General features: G+C 38.4%; 1 protein-coding gene across 3 annotated transcripts in view; it reads left to right on the top strand.

The window, feature by feature from the left end:
* PTN (pleiotrophin) overlaps positions 1-15,796 on the top strand; it is a 116,393-nt gene that overhangs the window by 85,725 nt on the left and 14,872 nt on the right. For all 3 annotated transcript variants that reach the window (NM_001321387.3, NM_002825.7, NM_001321386.2), the window contains exons 2-4: positions 3,035-3,150; positions 4,372-4,545; positions 6,618-6,779. In NM_001321387.3, the coding sequence (NP_001308316.1) occupies positions 3,036-3,150; positions 4,372-4,545; positions 6,618-6,779 (451 nt within the window). In that variant the 5' untranslated portion in view covers position 3,035. The remainder of the gene's footprint in view (positions 1-3,034; positions 3,151-4,371; positions 4,546-6,617; positions 6,780-15,796) is intronic.

Here is a 15,796-nt window from a genome sequence, read left to right as displayed (position 1 = left end):
AACTCTGTGTGTGCATGTGTGTGTATATGTGTGTTATTGTATTATTTACAGAAGGTAGAGTCTTTCTATTTCTGCCAAGTTATCATATTTCTCCAGTGGGCTCTGAGGTGCTTCTGGCCTCTCTTCTTGCTGTAGGTATCATAGGACTATGGATGAGCATCCCATGGCTTGGGCAGAAAGTTCTCTCAAGAGTTCTGCGTTCTCCATGAGAATTTCCAAATTCTCACAGTAATCTAATTCTCAACAACCTAAATACTTCTGATATTTGTAAGTAACTGTTGAAAATGCAGGTAAATTTTAACTTGGAAAGAAATATATTGTAATTTAAAAGTTCTGAATCAAAAAAATAATTTGCCCTTTTAAACAATTGAAATGAAAAGTTTCTGCCAAAGTGACAGAAAGAAGGCTTTCAGCCAGCCTCTGGGGAAAGCTCAAAGACTTCCACTTTGGTTTACTTTACACCTAATAATTTTAAATGACATTTGAGTACATTATGAAAGATATAGTAGCACTGATGTACCAGTGCCCAACTCAAAGAACTCTGAAAAGACTTGCAAACCTATGAGTCTAGACTGGCTTCTTTTACCATTCACACCCAATTAAAAGCGCAGGAAAAGCCTCAGAATCAGTAGAAACTTTTCTGCGTGACCATTCATGAGGTATTAGGTTGGTGCAAAAGTAACTGCGATTTTTACTTTAAGGGCAAAAGCCATGATCACTTTTGCACCAATCTGATATAATAAGAATTTAGCCTCAGGAGGAAGAACAAAGCACCTTATCTTATATTGTAGAAAGTGCTGGAGATGGTGAGTAGCTAATCTAGGCTTGTGATTCAGGGAAAAAATTAAGGTTCAAAATATTAATTTTAATTGATAAGTGAAATATGCTTCATCCATATGTTGGAATCCAAAGTCATCAATTTTTAAAAACAACACTTATTTACATTCCCACCAACAGTGTAAAAGCATTCTTATTTCTCCACAGTCTTGCCAGCATCTATTGTTTCTTGACTTTTTAATAATTGCCATTCTGACTGGCTTGAGATGGTATCTCACTGTGGTTTTGATTTGCATTTCTCTAATGATCAGTGATGTTGAGCTTTTTTTCATATTTGTTGGCTGCAGAAATGTCTTTTGAAAAGTGTCTGTCATATCCTTTGCCCAGTTTTTGATGGGGTTTTTGTTTTGTTTTGTTTTGTTTTGTTTTTTATAAATTTGTTTAAGTTCCTTGTAAATTCTGGAAATTAGTTCAACCATTGTGGAAAACGGTGTGGTGATTCCTTGAGGATCTAGAACCAGAAATACCATTTGATCCAGCCATCCCATTACTGAGTATATACCCAAAGGAATATGAATTATTTTAATATAAAGACACAGGCACACATAGGTTTATTGCAGCACTATTACATAGCAAAGCCATTGAACCAACCCAAAAGCTTATCAATGATAGACTGGATAAAGAAAATTTGGTACATATATACAATGGAATACTAGGCAACCATAACAAGGAATGAGATCATGTCCTTTGCAGGGACATGAGTGAAGCTGGAGGCCATCATCCACAGCAAACTAACACAGGAACAGGAAACCAAACACCGCATGTTCTCACTCATAACTGGGAGTTGAACATTGAGAAGACATGGACACAGGGAGGGGAACATCACACACCAGGACCTGTTGAGGGGTGTGGGGTAAGGGGAGGGAACTTAGAGGACCAGTCAATAAGTGCAGCAAACCATCATGGCACATGTATACCTGTGTAACAAACCTGCACATTCTGCACATGTATCTTGGAACTTAAAGTAAAATTAAAAATAAATAAATTTAAAAAAACACTAATAAGAGACAGCATATACAATGCCACAGAAAAGGAGAAAAATTCACGGGCAAGGATATCATCTCAGATATTTTTCAATGAGGAAAATAAATTAGAGAAAAGAATAATCTCAACCCCTTATATACATGAAACGTTTTATTGTTCACACTAAAGAGAATGTTGAAACACCTAAACTAATCTAGTACTACCTCTGGAAAAAAAATTATCAGCCTATGATCATAGGACATTACAACCATTTTTATGTGAAGTATAACACACCACTAACACAGCAGATGGAGCTCAATAACTGCCAGGCAAGTTGCTGCAGCCATGATATGGTGTAGCCATTGGGAAGTGGGTCGTCCTGGAGCTTGGACTGAAACTTTCTCAAGGGTGTTTTGGCCAAGTGACCATATTGACACTAGGCTGTCACAGGTGGCTTCAAGTTCTAGGAGAGTCTTTCTAATGATATCTTGGGATTTTTGATTCACATCAAATGTGAGCATTTCCTATTATGAGTGAGTGTAAAGACTTCACCATATCCTAAGATTAGAGGATTTTTAGCACATGCGAATTTATCATTGTGTTTGATATGTATCACAGGTGTGCTAGCTCTACTTCTGGGATTCACTCTTTGTTAGATCAATAAATAATGGAATAATAAGATGATAGTGATGATTATGACAATGATTTTAAAAAGATCAGAGATGTTGGTTGTTGTGTATGCGTCTAAATAGAAACAGTAAACATATACTTGTATAGGTAATTCATTCATCATGTCTACTCAAATTGGTCTTGTGTACAGCAGTATCATTGCTGTGGTTGTTTCTAATATTGTCAGGAATTTTGAAGATGGCTGTAGTTGTCGATATTACCAAGTGATGCTATCAGCAAGACAGTAGGACTGTGTTCAAATGCATGCCTTCAAAGTTCTTTTGCTTCCATAATTTCTGAGTCATACTTAGCAAATGGTTGTGAAGTCTTAAGTGAAGAACTGTTGCGTTTTGTCAGTGAATACGTGATTGATTGCAGAAGAGCACTTATTTCAATGGCTGTTGGTAAGAATAGATAAAATTCTACCCAAGATAATTGATATGAATCTTCCTGAAATCTAACATTCCAGAAATGGAAAGTGGAGCCTTTTCATCAAGGGTTCAATGAATCTTCCTTTCTGACTTAGGTTAATGCCACCTTCTTCTCTTTCTCTGTTTATTCCTAGAATGCAGGCTCAACAGTACCAGCAGCAGCGTCGAAAATTTGCAGCTGCCTTCTTGGCATTCATTTTCATACTGGCAGCTGTGGATACTGCTGAAGCAGGGAAGAAAGAGAAACCAGGTAAGCAGTAGGGTTCTGAAGGCAAGATGCTTCATTGATTAATGTCCATCTAGTCTAATTACCTGCTTTTCCTTCCTCTCTTCTACTCTGCCTCTCTCCCTTCCTATTCCTCTATTCCTTCAATCTTCCCTTTTCAAAAATAATTACTTAGAGGAACCTAAGAAATATCCTGTCTTATTTTTCTCCCATTGTAAGTCTTGGATTGCATGACGATGATGATCATTAATATAATGATCAAATTAGCAGCTACTATGTATAGAACATTGACCGGTAATCAGGTGCTTTATTATTTACCTCTCTACCTCAAAAAAAAAAAAATGCACTGCAACTTGTTTTTCTCCTTAATTTCAGATTTACAGAGGAGGAAACAAGCACAGAGAAGATAAAGCACCTTCTCTATGCCACTCCCAAAGTCATAAGTAGGCTGTGGAACTGACAGTCTGTTTAAATCTGTGATGCACCATATTTGTATGATGTCATTCCTTCTACAAGGCAGAGAAAGGAACAACAACTTACACTGAAATGGCTCATTTGACAACTGTTATTTCTTTTTTTTTTTTTTTGAGTTGGAGTCTCGCTCTGTCACCAGGTTGGAGTGCAGTGGTGCGATCTCAACTCACTGTATCCTCTGTCTCCCGGTTCAAGTGATTCTCCTGCCTCAGCTTCCCGAGTAGCTGGGGCTGCAGGCATGCACCACCACGCCCAGCTAATTTTTGTATTTTTAGTAGAGTTGGGGTTTCACCATGTTAGCCAGGATGGTCTCGATCTTTTGACCTTGTGATCTGCCTGCTTCGACCTCCCAAAGTGCTGGGATTACAGGCATGAGCCACTTTGCCCAGCTGACAACTGTTATTTCTAATAGAATATTTTCTTCATTTTTAGGAGAACTATATTTTTGACCATCTCTTCTTTTATAGAAATGTTTGCTTCTAAAAGGAGATGCCACTAAATCACTTAGCACAGTCTCTGGCACATAGTAAGAGGGAGTTCAATTAATATTAGTTTTAGCTCTTTTCTCAGTTTTCTTTCTCTCTTCTCTTGATCATTCATTGGTTCAATAATTTGGTTAATATTCATCATGTTTCTACTATTCATTAGACAATAAGGATACAGATTAAAAAACACAGATCCTGCAATTAAGGTGCTCAGGAATGAACTTGGTTATATCTGGAAGTTAAGGAGTTTTCTGTATGTTGATTAGGTTTTCCTCCTTTCATTCAGAAAAAAAAGTGAAGAAGTCTGACTGTGGAGAATGGCAGTGGAGTGTGTGTGTGCCCACCAGTGGAGACTGTGGGCTGGGCACACGGGAGGGCACTCGGACTGGAGCTGAGTGCAAGCAAACCATGAAGACCCAGAGATGTAAGATCCCCTGCAACTGGAAGAAGCAATTTGGCGGTAAGCCTCATGCTACTGAGTTAATCTCCTACTCTGAGATAATTCTCAAATTTTTCCACCAAATGTCTTTTTAAGGATAAGTACTTTTTATTTTAAATAACTTTATCTTACCAGACACAAAGTGACCAGACTGGTCCCATTTCAGGCCAGGCAATTATTTGTTGTGGAGGCTGTCTTGTGCATTTTAGGGTATTTAGGAGCATCGCTGGCTTCTACTCGCTAGTTTCCGGTAGCATTCCTCACCCGCTCCAGATGTGAAAACTAAAAATGTCTCCAAATATCTATGGCCAAATGTACCCTGTTGGTCAAAATCATCCCTGGTTGGGAACCACTGCCTTTCCAAAGGGACATAAAATATATCCTTGATTCCTCTGAATAATGTTAATTGATCTGTCTTCTCTCTCCTTTCTTCTATTTCTAAGTTCCTTTGATTTTTCCTTTCCCCTTTTCTTATTTATTCTCCTGCTTCTCCATGTTTCTCCCTGTCACTTTCAGACCTTCTCTCCCATTTGATCCCTCCCCAACCTCCACACAGTTTCACAGATTCACTTACTGAGTTCAGCAGGGCTGCTCACAGCCACGTTTCATAAATCTTTCTCCCACTGACTGGAGTCAGTCTTATGCTGGCCTGATCTATCTATCTGAGACAGGATCTCTCAACACTTTCAACTTTATATCCAGTATTGAACCCTCAAATAACCTCTTCCACAATCCAGACTTTTTGTCTTTCTTAGCCATAGTGGGACATGATGCCTGAAATGTCCTATCTGTGTTCTATGGAAATGCATTGTGGCCCATAGACAAGTGAGGAAGGATAATGGATGTATACATGTATGTCTTTTTCTCCCTCTGTAATCTTTGGGGTATTTTTTATTTGAATGGATATAGACAAGTTCTATAAAAGTGTGATGGAGAACAGGTACATTTGGTCTTAAATTGTATATGGGCACCTTAAAAACCCACTTACAAAAAGTTTAAAAGGTATATCTTAAAGACTTACATTGAGAATATTAAATAACTCTCAAACTCAACAGTAAACAACAAAACAACAACAACAAAAAACAAAACAAACAAAACCTAACAGTTCAATAAGAAAGTGGGGAAAAAACATTAACAGACATTTTACCAAAGAGGATATATAGGCAACAAATGAACTCCTGAAAATATATTCAGCATCTTTTCCTTATTAGGGAACTAGAAATTGAAACCATAATGAGATATCACTCTACATCTATCAAAGTGGCTAGAATAAAAAATAGTGACAAGACGAAATGCTAGTGAGGGTGCCAAGAAACCAGATCCCTCATATGTTGCCAGTGGAAATTGTAAGGTGGTACAGCCACAGTGGAAAAAGAGTATTGCAGTTTTTTACGAAATGAAACATGCATTTACCATGTAACACAGCAGTTTCTTGGTAATTTATCTCAGAGAAATGAAAACTGATGTTTCCACAAAAACCTATACATGAATTTATATAGCAGTTCTATTTGTAGTAACCCAAGGCTGGTAACAACTCGGATGTCCTTCAGCTGATGAATGGTTAAACAAACTGGGGTACATTGGGACCATGGAATACTACTCAGCAATAGGAAGAAACAGACTATTGATGCACATGACTTGGATGGATCTTCAGGAAATTATGCTAAATAAAAAAGCCAATCTCAGAAGTTTACATATTGTAGAATTCCATTTATGCAACATTTTTAAGCTAGAAAAATGATAGAGCTAGAGAACAGATAAGGAGTTGCCGGGGATTAAGGAGGTGGGGAAGGAGGAAGGTGGCTAGGCCATGACTATAAAGAATGACCCACTGTTGTATTGGGACTGTATATTAATAGTGTATATTAGTGTGTATTAATGGTGTATATTGATGGTGATCGTATGCATCTACACATGTGATAGAATTGAACAGAAATCAATACACACGCATACACTCTGTATTATTTCTTATAGCTGCATATGGATCTATAATTATTTCAATAAAAAAGTTACAAACAAAAGTGTGCCTTTATTATCCTGGAAGTACGATAGGATCTTTCAAGGATTTCTGTTTGGTTCTACCCTGCCTTTAGCGGAGTGCAAATACCAGTTCCAGGCCTGGGGAGAATGTGACCTGAACACAGCCCTGAAGACCAGAACTGGAAGTCTGAAGCGAGCCCTGCACAATGCCGAATGCCAGAAGACTGTCACCATCTCCAAGCCCTGTGGCAAACTGACCAAGCCCAAACCTCAAGGTAAGTCCTTGCCATTATACCACAATTTTAATGGATTGATGGACTCAGGTAAGATCTGGAAAACCCACATTTTCCAGAAGGAAATATTAGGTGAATTACCTTAAGAAAGTGACTGAAAAACTCCCCTACACTGAGAGTCACAAAAATACTTTAAAAATACTTTGAAGCAGGCAGCCTGTGAGTGCAAATTGAAGTCCTCTGCATAGATGAGGGGATTGGTACAGTCTCCTAACCCAAATAAATAACATAGCAAAAGAAACCAGCAAAGACAGTTGTATGATGACCATATATTCCACACTCTTAATTGGAACTGTATCCTGACAAGAAAAACAAACTCAGAATGTTTATGACGGAGACAATTTTAAATCAAACTTCTCCCAGATTATCTGAAATATAGTTTTCACAAAATCAGGAAAATTATTTTACATTTTCCCTTTATTCACTGCATAACTTAATGGGTTCTGCATTTGTTTTCAGAGCCTTTATATTTTTTGAGTTCAATTTGGTTACCAACTACATTCATCACAGAATTTTTAAATGACAGAGATCTGTATCTCCCAGAAAGTCAGGCTCTGCTCTCTTGCTGGAGAAGGTAAAAACAATCATTATGGCCATGAATTCATACATACAAGGATCCCAACTGAGGGAAATAAACTCTTTCATCATGGATGTTATTGTCTGAATTGTGTTTTCCCAAATTCATATGCTGAAGTTTTAACCCCCTCACAATGTCACTGTATTGGAGACAGGGTCTTTAAAGAGGTAATTGAGATAAAATGCAGTCACAAGGGTAGGCCCTAATCCAGTGCAGCTGGTGTGTTTATAAGAAGGGAGATTAGGACACAGAAATACATAGAGAGAAGACTGTGTGAAGACAGAGGGAGAAGAATGCCATCTACAAGCCATAGGGAGAACCTTCAGAAGAAATCAGCCCTACAGATGCCTTGATCTTAGGCTTGTAGCTTCCAGAACTGCAAGACAATAAATAAATAAATTTCTGTTGTTTAAGCCACCAACTCTGTGGTACTTTGTTATAGGAGCTATAGCCAACTAATACAATGGGACTCAATGAACTCTAAATTCAAATACCTTCTTGGCCTCTACTCATATATTTTAACTCTAAGGTGGTCCTGAAAATTCATACTGCCAGAGAAATTGTAAGGAGAGATTCAGAAAAATGACCATGTAAGAAATGCTCATAATAAATAAAAGTAGAAAAAAAAAATCTGCAGAAGGTGATGGAGATTGGCTGGTTTCCTGCTGGTGGCCAGAAAGGACTTTATTTTTCACAGGCCTGGCTTTTTGGCCACTGCTGGAGTTGTCCATAGAAATAGTTATCTCCAACTTCAGGATGGCCAGGTACAGGCTGGACCTGCAGGTGGTGAGTCTAGGGTTCAGGCTGCCCTTTCCAGATCATGGAAATCTCTGCCTGTTGTCATATGGTTTTTGGAAGGCATGAAGCAGGGCTGGAGTGACTGCAGTGAGTACTTATGCAGACTTCCCAAATGTCATTTGTCCAGAGACAACCACATAAATCTAAGCAAAATCAGTGCCCTATCTACCAAGTGAAACATTTCCAAAAATGGCAAAACTCAGAGTTACTGTAGTCAAAATAATTTATTTTTAGTCCAGCTGTAGAACCAAAATATTCAGCATAAATACAGAATTGAAAGGAAAAGAAATTAAAGAAGCTTCCACATTCTAGCACAGTGATGCTCAACCTGGGCTTCACATTAGAATATTCTGTGGGAACTTGCAAAACTCCCAGTGCCCAAGTATAGCACAGACTAACCCAATCAGCATCAGTAGTTTAAAAATTGTGAATGCATCTCAGAAGGTTTCATGATGCAGCCAAAATTGAGAACTACTGCTCTAGTATGGAATCCATTGACAAGAGACCACACACACATGCATACACATGTAACACACACACACACACACACACACACACACACACGTGCACTGTCCTGTTCTTTCCTATGGGAAAGAGAAAATTCAACTTTATAATAAGGGAGAAAAAGTGGGGACATGATTAGGTGGAAGATGGTGGGGCTGGGTGAACACATAAAATGTTGAAAAGTTTGGAATAAATGGGACACAGCAGGGAACATGATTAAGATAGAACCCTAAACGATATTTAGGAAATAAGTGAAGTCTTCCTTTTACCTGAACTGGTGTATATTTCACCTTTATACAGTATCTCATCTAATAACATGTAATGAAGGTTAAGTTTGTTTCAGGCTTTCAGCTTGAAAAAATGACACTAAAAATATTTCAAGTGGATAGACATTCTGTAATATTCATACGTAAATAAATTATGGTATATAATTAATTGATATAATTAATTGAAAATATGATTACTATGAGTGATTCTATGTTTCAAACTACCAGTTATGCAATTTACAGGTCATTAAAATTCATCCTTCCCTTTGTGTATAATATACCTTTGTTATAACTAACCAATCTTTTCCATCTCAGCAGTGGAGAGTCTTATAAATGCTGTTTGGCACTGAGACACTCTGCAAAAAGAATGATTTCTTTTTTCTTTTTGATACAGAGTCTCACTCTGTCACCCGTGCTGGAGGGCAGTGAGGCGATCTCGGCCCACTGCAAACTCCGCCTCCTGGGTTCAAGTGATTCTCCTGCCTCAGCCTCCTGAGTAGCTGGGATTATGGGCATGCGCCCAGCTAATTTTTCTGTCTTTTTAGTAGAGACAGCATTTCATCATGTTGGTCAGGCTGGTCTTGAACTCCAGACCTCAAATGATACACCCGCCTTGGCCTCCCAAAGTGCTGGGATTAAAGGCATGAGCCACTGTGCCTGGAAAAAAGAATATTCTTATTTTAGGAGTTGAACCAGGGAGATGTGTCAGATATAAAATCTTTGTAGGGGACACAGACACACTCACACACACACACACATTCCATGGCATATTTTTCCTAGTTTAAACCAAAATGTAACGAGTGGCATATGTAAGTTGTATTTATTTTTGTACTATTTTTCTCAAATAAACTTGGATAGATATTATAGCTTTTCCTTTGCACGTCTCTAATTTTAAGATAGCTTACATTCTACTAATCAATGGGAAAGCAAATAGTAATGAATGGAATCTATACTATCATTATCATTATTCAGTTTCTACTCTATACATTGCTCTAGGTGTTTTCCATATGGTAACTTATAAAGTCCCATATATCCTTGCGGGTGGGTATTATTATAAAGGAAACTGAGGAACACTGGTTAATTTACTTGACCAGGAGTATATCTCTAATAAATGACAGTGCCAAGATTTGTCTAACTCTAAATTCATGTCATCTTTTGTATTCTGCTGATTTCTCACCTAAATCACAAAGGGGTATGAACTAACCTCCATGGGTTTTAATTTCCTTTGAAATAGGAGAAGGTGAATGTTGTCTTTTTTCTTTTTAATTTTTGTGGATATGTGGTAGGTGTATATATTTATGTGGTACATGAGATGTTTTGATACAGGCCTGCAATATGAAATAAGCATATTATGGAGAATGCAGTGTCCATCCCCTCAAGCATTTATCCTTGGAGTAACAAACAACCTAATCACACTCTTTGCGTTATTTTAAAATATACACTTATTATTGACTATATAGTCACCCTGTTGTGCTATCAAATAGTAGGTCTTATTCATTCTTTCTATTTTTTTGTACCCATTAACCATCCCAACCACCCATCACTACCCTTCCCAACCTCTGTTAACCATCCTTCTACTCTCTATGTCCTTGAGTTTGTTTCGATTTTAGATCCCACAAATAAGTGAGTACACGCAATGTTTCTCTTTCTGTGCCTGTCTTATTTTACTTAACCTAATGATCTCCATTTCTATCCATGTTGTTGCAAATGACTGAATCTCATTCATTTTAATGGCTGAATTGTACTCCGTTATGTATATGTACCACATTTTCTTTATCTGTTCATCCGTTGATGGCCACTTACGTTGCTTCCAAATCTTAGCTATCATAGACAGTGCTGCAACAAACATAGGGGTACAGATATCTTTTCAATATACTGATTCCCTTTATTTTGGGTGGAAGCTGCAGTAGTCATTTAACTAAACTTTTCTCAAAATGATGCATTTATAAATTATTTTCTTCCTTCAGGAAAGAGTACATCATCAACATTTTTTCTTATGTTAATTCAATATGTGAAGGAGATAGAAGTAGGGAACTCACTAATTTTGAATTGGACACTGGGGTAGGAGCTCCTAGTCATTTAATTTAAGCCTTAAAGCAACTTTAAGCATACATTTTATTTATCCTACTTTATATATGAAAAAGCATAGGCTCAGAAATGTTAGGCAACTCATTTGAGGTTTCACAGCTTGCAAGCAGTGCAACCAGATTCAAATTTAAAGTCAGACTGATACAAAAGACCCACTGCCTTTTCAACTGCACGATGCTCCTTCTTGGTATTATAAACCCATGCAACGCTGGTCACATTTATTAGATGAATCTTTATGTCTAGAAGCTTTAAAGGGTTGAGCTTCTGGGGACCTTGCCTAATGTCTGATCTAATATCCACATAACAAATGAGGACAGAGAAAATCAATGACTTATGCATGTCCATTCCGTTTTCTGGTAGTGGAGTCAGTTCCAGGTTTTGTTCTCTTTTGATGTCATTTTTCTGCCTTATTTCAAACATGAGAATTATAGGAAAGGGAATTTTTATAGTGATCAGTAAAGGGCATTGCAGTCATGAGGAAAATCAGTGGTTTTCAAAATATGAGTTTAATTACAGTCATGTGTCACTTAACAACAGGGATATGTTCTAAGAAATGTATCCTTAGGTGATTTCATTCTCGTGTGAACATCATAGGGTGCACTTATACAAGTGTAGATGTGTAGCCTACTGTGCCCCTAGGCTGTAAGGTATAGCCGATTGCTCCTAGGCTGCAAATCTATACAGCATGTTACTGTACTGAATACTGTAGGTTATTGTAACACAATGATAGGTATTTGTGTATCTGAACATGTCTAATTATTGAAAAGATATAGTAAAAATATGGTATAAAAGAAAAAAATGGTACATCTCTGTAGGGCACTTACCGTGAATGGAGCTTGCAGGACTGGAAGTTGCTCTGGGTGAGTCACTGAATGAACAGTGAGTGAATGTGAAGGCATAGGACATTAGTGTACAATACCATAGACTCTATAAACACAGTACACTTAAGCTACACTAAATTTATGAGAAGATATTTTTCTTTCTCCAACAGTAAATGAACCTTAGCTTACGGTAACTATTTTAGTTTATAAACTTTTAAATTTATTTTAACTTTTGACTCTTTTAAAATAAGACTTAAAGTTCAAAAACATTGCATAGCTATAACAAACGTATTCTTTCCTTATATCTTTATTCCATAAGCATTTTTAATTTTTTAAAACTTTTTGTTAAAACTAAGACACACACAGATTAGCCTAGGTCTACACAGGGTCAGGTTCATCAACATCACTGTCTTCCACCTCCACATCTTGTCCCACTGGAAGGTCTTCAGGGACAGTAACACATCATCTCCTATGATAACAATGCCTCCTCCTGGAATACCTCCAGAAGGACTTGTCTGAAGCTGTTTTACAGTTAACTTTTTTTTTTTACTAAGAAGAAGGAATACACTCTAAAATAATGATTAAAAGTATTGTATAGTAAATACATAAACCAGTAACATAGCCATTTATTATCACTCTCAAGTATTATGACTATACATAATTGTCTGTGTTACACTTTTATAAGACTAGCAGTGCAGTAAGTTTATTTACATCCGCATCACCACAGACATGTGAGTAATGTGCTGCCTTCCAATGTTAATCAGTGATAGGAATTCCTCAGCTCTACTGTACCCTAATGGGAACACAGTTCTATATGTGGTCCATCATTGGTTGAAACATTGCTATGTGGTGCGTAACTGTATTACGTATAATCTAGTCACTCAGCTCTTCGTCAGAAAGTGCCTTCTTTTCCTGTCTTTATCATTCTAATCAAACATATGATCAGGATCTGTTTTGTTTGTTTGATATTTGCTTGTTTTCATTTTAGAGAACTTCTTTGCTTACTTCCTGACCACTTTTGTTTTGGGAAATGGCCGTGGATTAATATGCAAACCACTTGGTTTCAGTGTGAAAATCATACTCTTTACATTTTAGAATGAAACATAAAGATGTTGGCAAGTCTGTGAATACCCAACATTAAATTGAGGAAAGGCTGGAGAATGTCTTTGCTATTTGATTGGTAATAATAAGGCTAAAAGATTAAGTGACTTGGTTAGGAGGCTTAATATCGAGAGTTGCTATCCAAACACCAGGGAATTACTAAATATCCCGCAGAGTTTGGTTAAAAATTGCCTTAAAATTCATCATAGTCCATTCTAACAGCATTACTTCTTGAGGTATAGAAGCAATCCTTCCTATTGCTATGTCAATGTTGAACAGATTCCACACTCTAGCCTCAGTCTGCAATTTTGATGATACTAGATGTGAAGTTGGAAACCCTTGTTTGAAGATTCTCTTGGGTTGGAATCCCACTTAATCTGAAGAGATCATTCTCAGCAAACTATTGCAAGGACAAAAAAAACCAAACATCGCATGTTCTCACTCATAAGTGGGAATTGAACAATGAGAACACTTGGACACAGGAAGGGGGACATCACACACCGGGGCTTGTTGTGGGGTGGGAGGAGGGGGGAGGGATAGCATTAGGAGATATGCCTAATGTAAATGACAAGTTAATGGGTGCAGCACACCAACATGGCACACGTATACATACGTAACAAACCTGCACGTTGTGCACATGTACCCTAGAACTTAAAGTAAAAAAAAAAAAAAAAAAAAAAAATTCTGAGGAGACCTTTTAGCTATCCACTTTGATATTTTATACTAAGAAGAAGAGGGAATATTCATGCTCTTATGCAGAAATAAGAATTGAAATGTGCACATCTGGAATTTAGCTTTCCTGGAGATGGAGGCAGTATTACTCTGGGAAAGGTTCATTGCTTGACTGAAAGATTGTAGCTGGAATTTGCTTAATGATTACCAGAGTCTGGCAGGGATAAATTGGTGAACAATTGTGTTGGACACTTGAGATTTTAATTTCTTAAGAAAAGAGATTGAGTTTAATTAATATAGATTAATTAAATTAGTTAAAACATTGTATCTGTCAAAAGCTTTTAGATACAGCGAGATCTACTCTAGCTCGTTAAGCAAAAGAGGTCTATTCAAGGGTATTATATAGTTCAAAGAATCTCCGGGAGGGCCAAAGATCTCGCTTGGATGCCGCAAGACCAGGAATAATGCAGCCAAAGTCAACAGATCCGGGAGAAATATCTACTCACACCACATGTCACTGATCTAGCAGAAACCTTTCTGCTGCAATTACTGTCTGTTCAGCACATATAATGCTTAGAACTGAACACTGGAAGGTCCGCCACAGGTGACCCTCCGAAACCAGTCACTTCTGCCCCCTTTCTTGAGGGACTATCCAATCTCCCCACATTTGGCCCCTGCTTCTAGTTGGTCACGTCTACCTCCACATCTCATTTAAGCGTGTCTGCTTAATAGAAATTTGGTCACATGGAAAATCCTGCTATGAAGGAGCCTGGAAAATGAATATTTAACTTTCTAGATTCTACCTCTAAACACAAGAAGGGAAGCTTCAAGGGTCTTGCATGGCATGTAGTGAGCAAATCTACCACAGTGTGCAAGAATGTCAGAATGTGGTGGGGTATATCATTAGACTTACCCCTCTCTCCTGTGGGGCTAGATGATGCATTGATGCTACTCCATGGGGAAAAAATTGCCAAGGGTAATCTTGCATTAGAACTGTTGAGTACACCATTGTACAGAGAGTTGGGTCTCTCCTCACTGGAATTACCAGTCACTTTTTATTTTCTGCGGGAATAATTGATCTGCAAACAAGGAAGAAAGTTGGAAAACAGAGTCTGTCTCTGCTAACGGCTTTGTATAAACTGTCAGAGCAGGCCGGGCACAGTGGCTCACACCTGTAATCCCAGCACTTTGGGAGGCTGAGGTGGGCGGATCACGAGGTCAAGAGATCGAGACCATCCTGGCCAACATGGTGAAACCCCATCTCTAATAAAAATACAAAAATTAGATGGGCGTGGTGGTGCATACCTGTAGTCCCAGCTACTTGGGAGGCTGAGGCAGGAGAATCGCTTGAACCCAGGAGGCAGACGTTGCAGTGAGTCAAGATCGTGCCACTGCACTCTAGCCTGGCGACAGAGAACTCTTCAGAGGTCAAATAACTCTTCTCCAAGCCACACGTGTTTTTCAGTGGTCCCCTTAGATGATGGCTCACTATGGAATTAGAAGATGGCAAGAACAAGCATCCCTGCCGGATGGACCCGTCCGTGGGGGTGCTGTGGCTCTATAGGCAGTCCTGTCTGTGTGGGTCAGGGGACGGTGCAGCCCATGGAGCAGGCTTCTGGTATTTGTCACTGGAGTGCAGAGCCAAGCTAAAGCAGGGGCTGGGGCTTGTGTGGGAGGCTCCAGTGAGAGCTGAGAGGTTCCTTCAGGCCACAGGTGATATTGCCTAATGATCATCTTGGAACATTCTAGTATCTTGGGTTATTGTTCACCTGGCAATTATTAGTTGTTACTTTTTAAATCAGATGCATAAATGAAGGGTGTTGTGAAGCCCTTTTTAGTACAGATAAGCCAGCTACCAAGTTTATCTGGAAAAGGGGAATTCTCAGATTGTTTTTGGGACTGGCAGAGATGGGCACACAGGGAGAGATGTCTATGCTACAGGTGAGTCAGGGAATGAATGTCAGTCCCTCCTGCTGTCCATACCAAGCCACACGCTGCTGTTACCAGATCCTTGTTCAATTTTCCTGCTCTCGATAACCTCAATTCTTTTTCTTCCTTTCCAGCTATTTCTGAAAGTTTTGCCATCTTGCTGCTCTTTTTTGGAAAGCCGCCTAGCCCTCTCTTGTGTTTGACAATTCATCTTTAAAGATCAAAAGAACAGAAACTGTTTAA

The sequence above is a fragment of the Homo sapiens genome, chromosome 7 (genome assembly GCF_000001405.40).
Source record: "Homo sapiens chromosome 7, GRCh38.p14 Primary Assembly".
Taxonomy (NCBI): domain Eukaryota; kingdom Metazoa; phylum Chordata; class Mammalia; order Primates; family Hominidae; genus Homo; species Homo sapiens.
The sequence above is the reverse complement of the archived record's forward strand: the minus strand, read 5'-3'. Positions and strand labels throughout refer to the sequence as shown.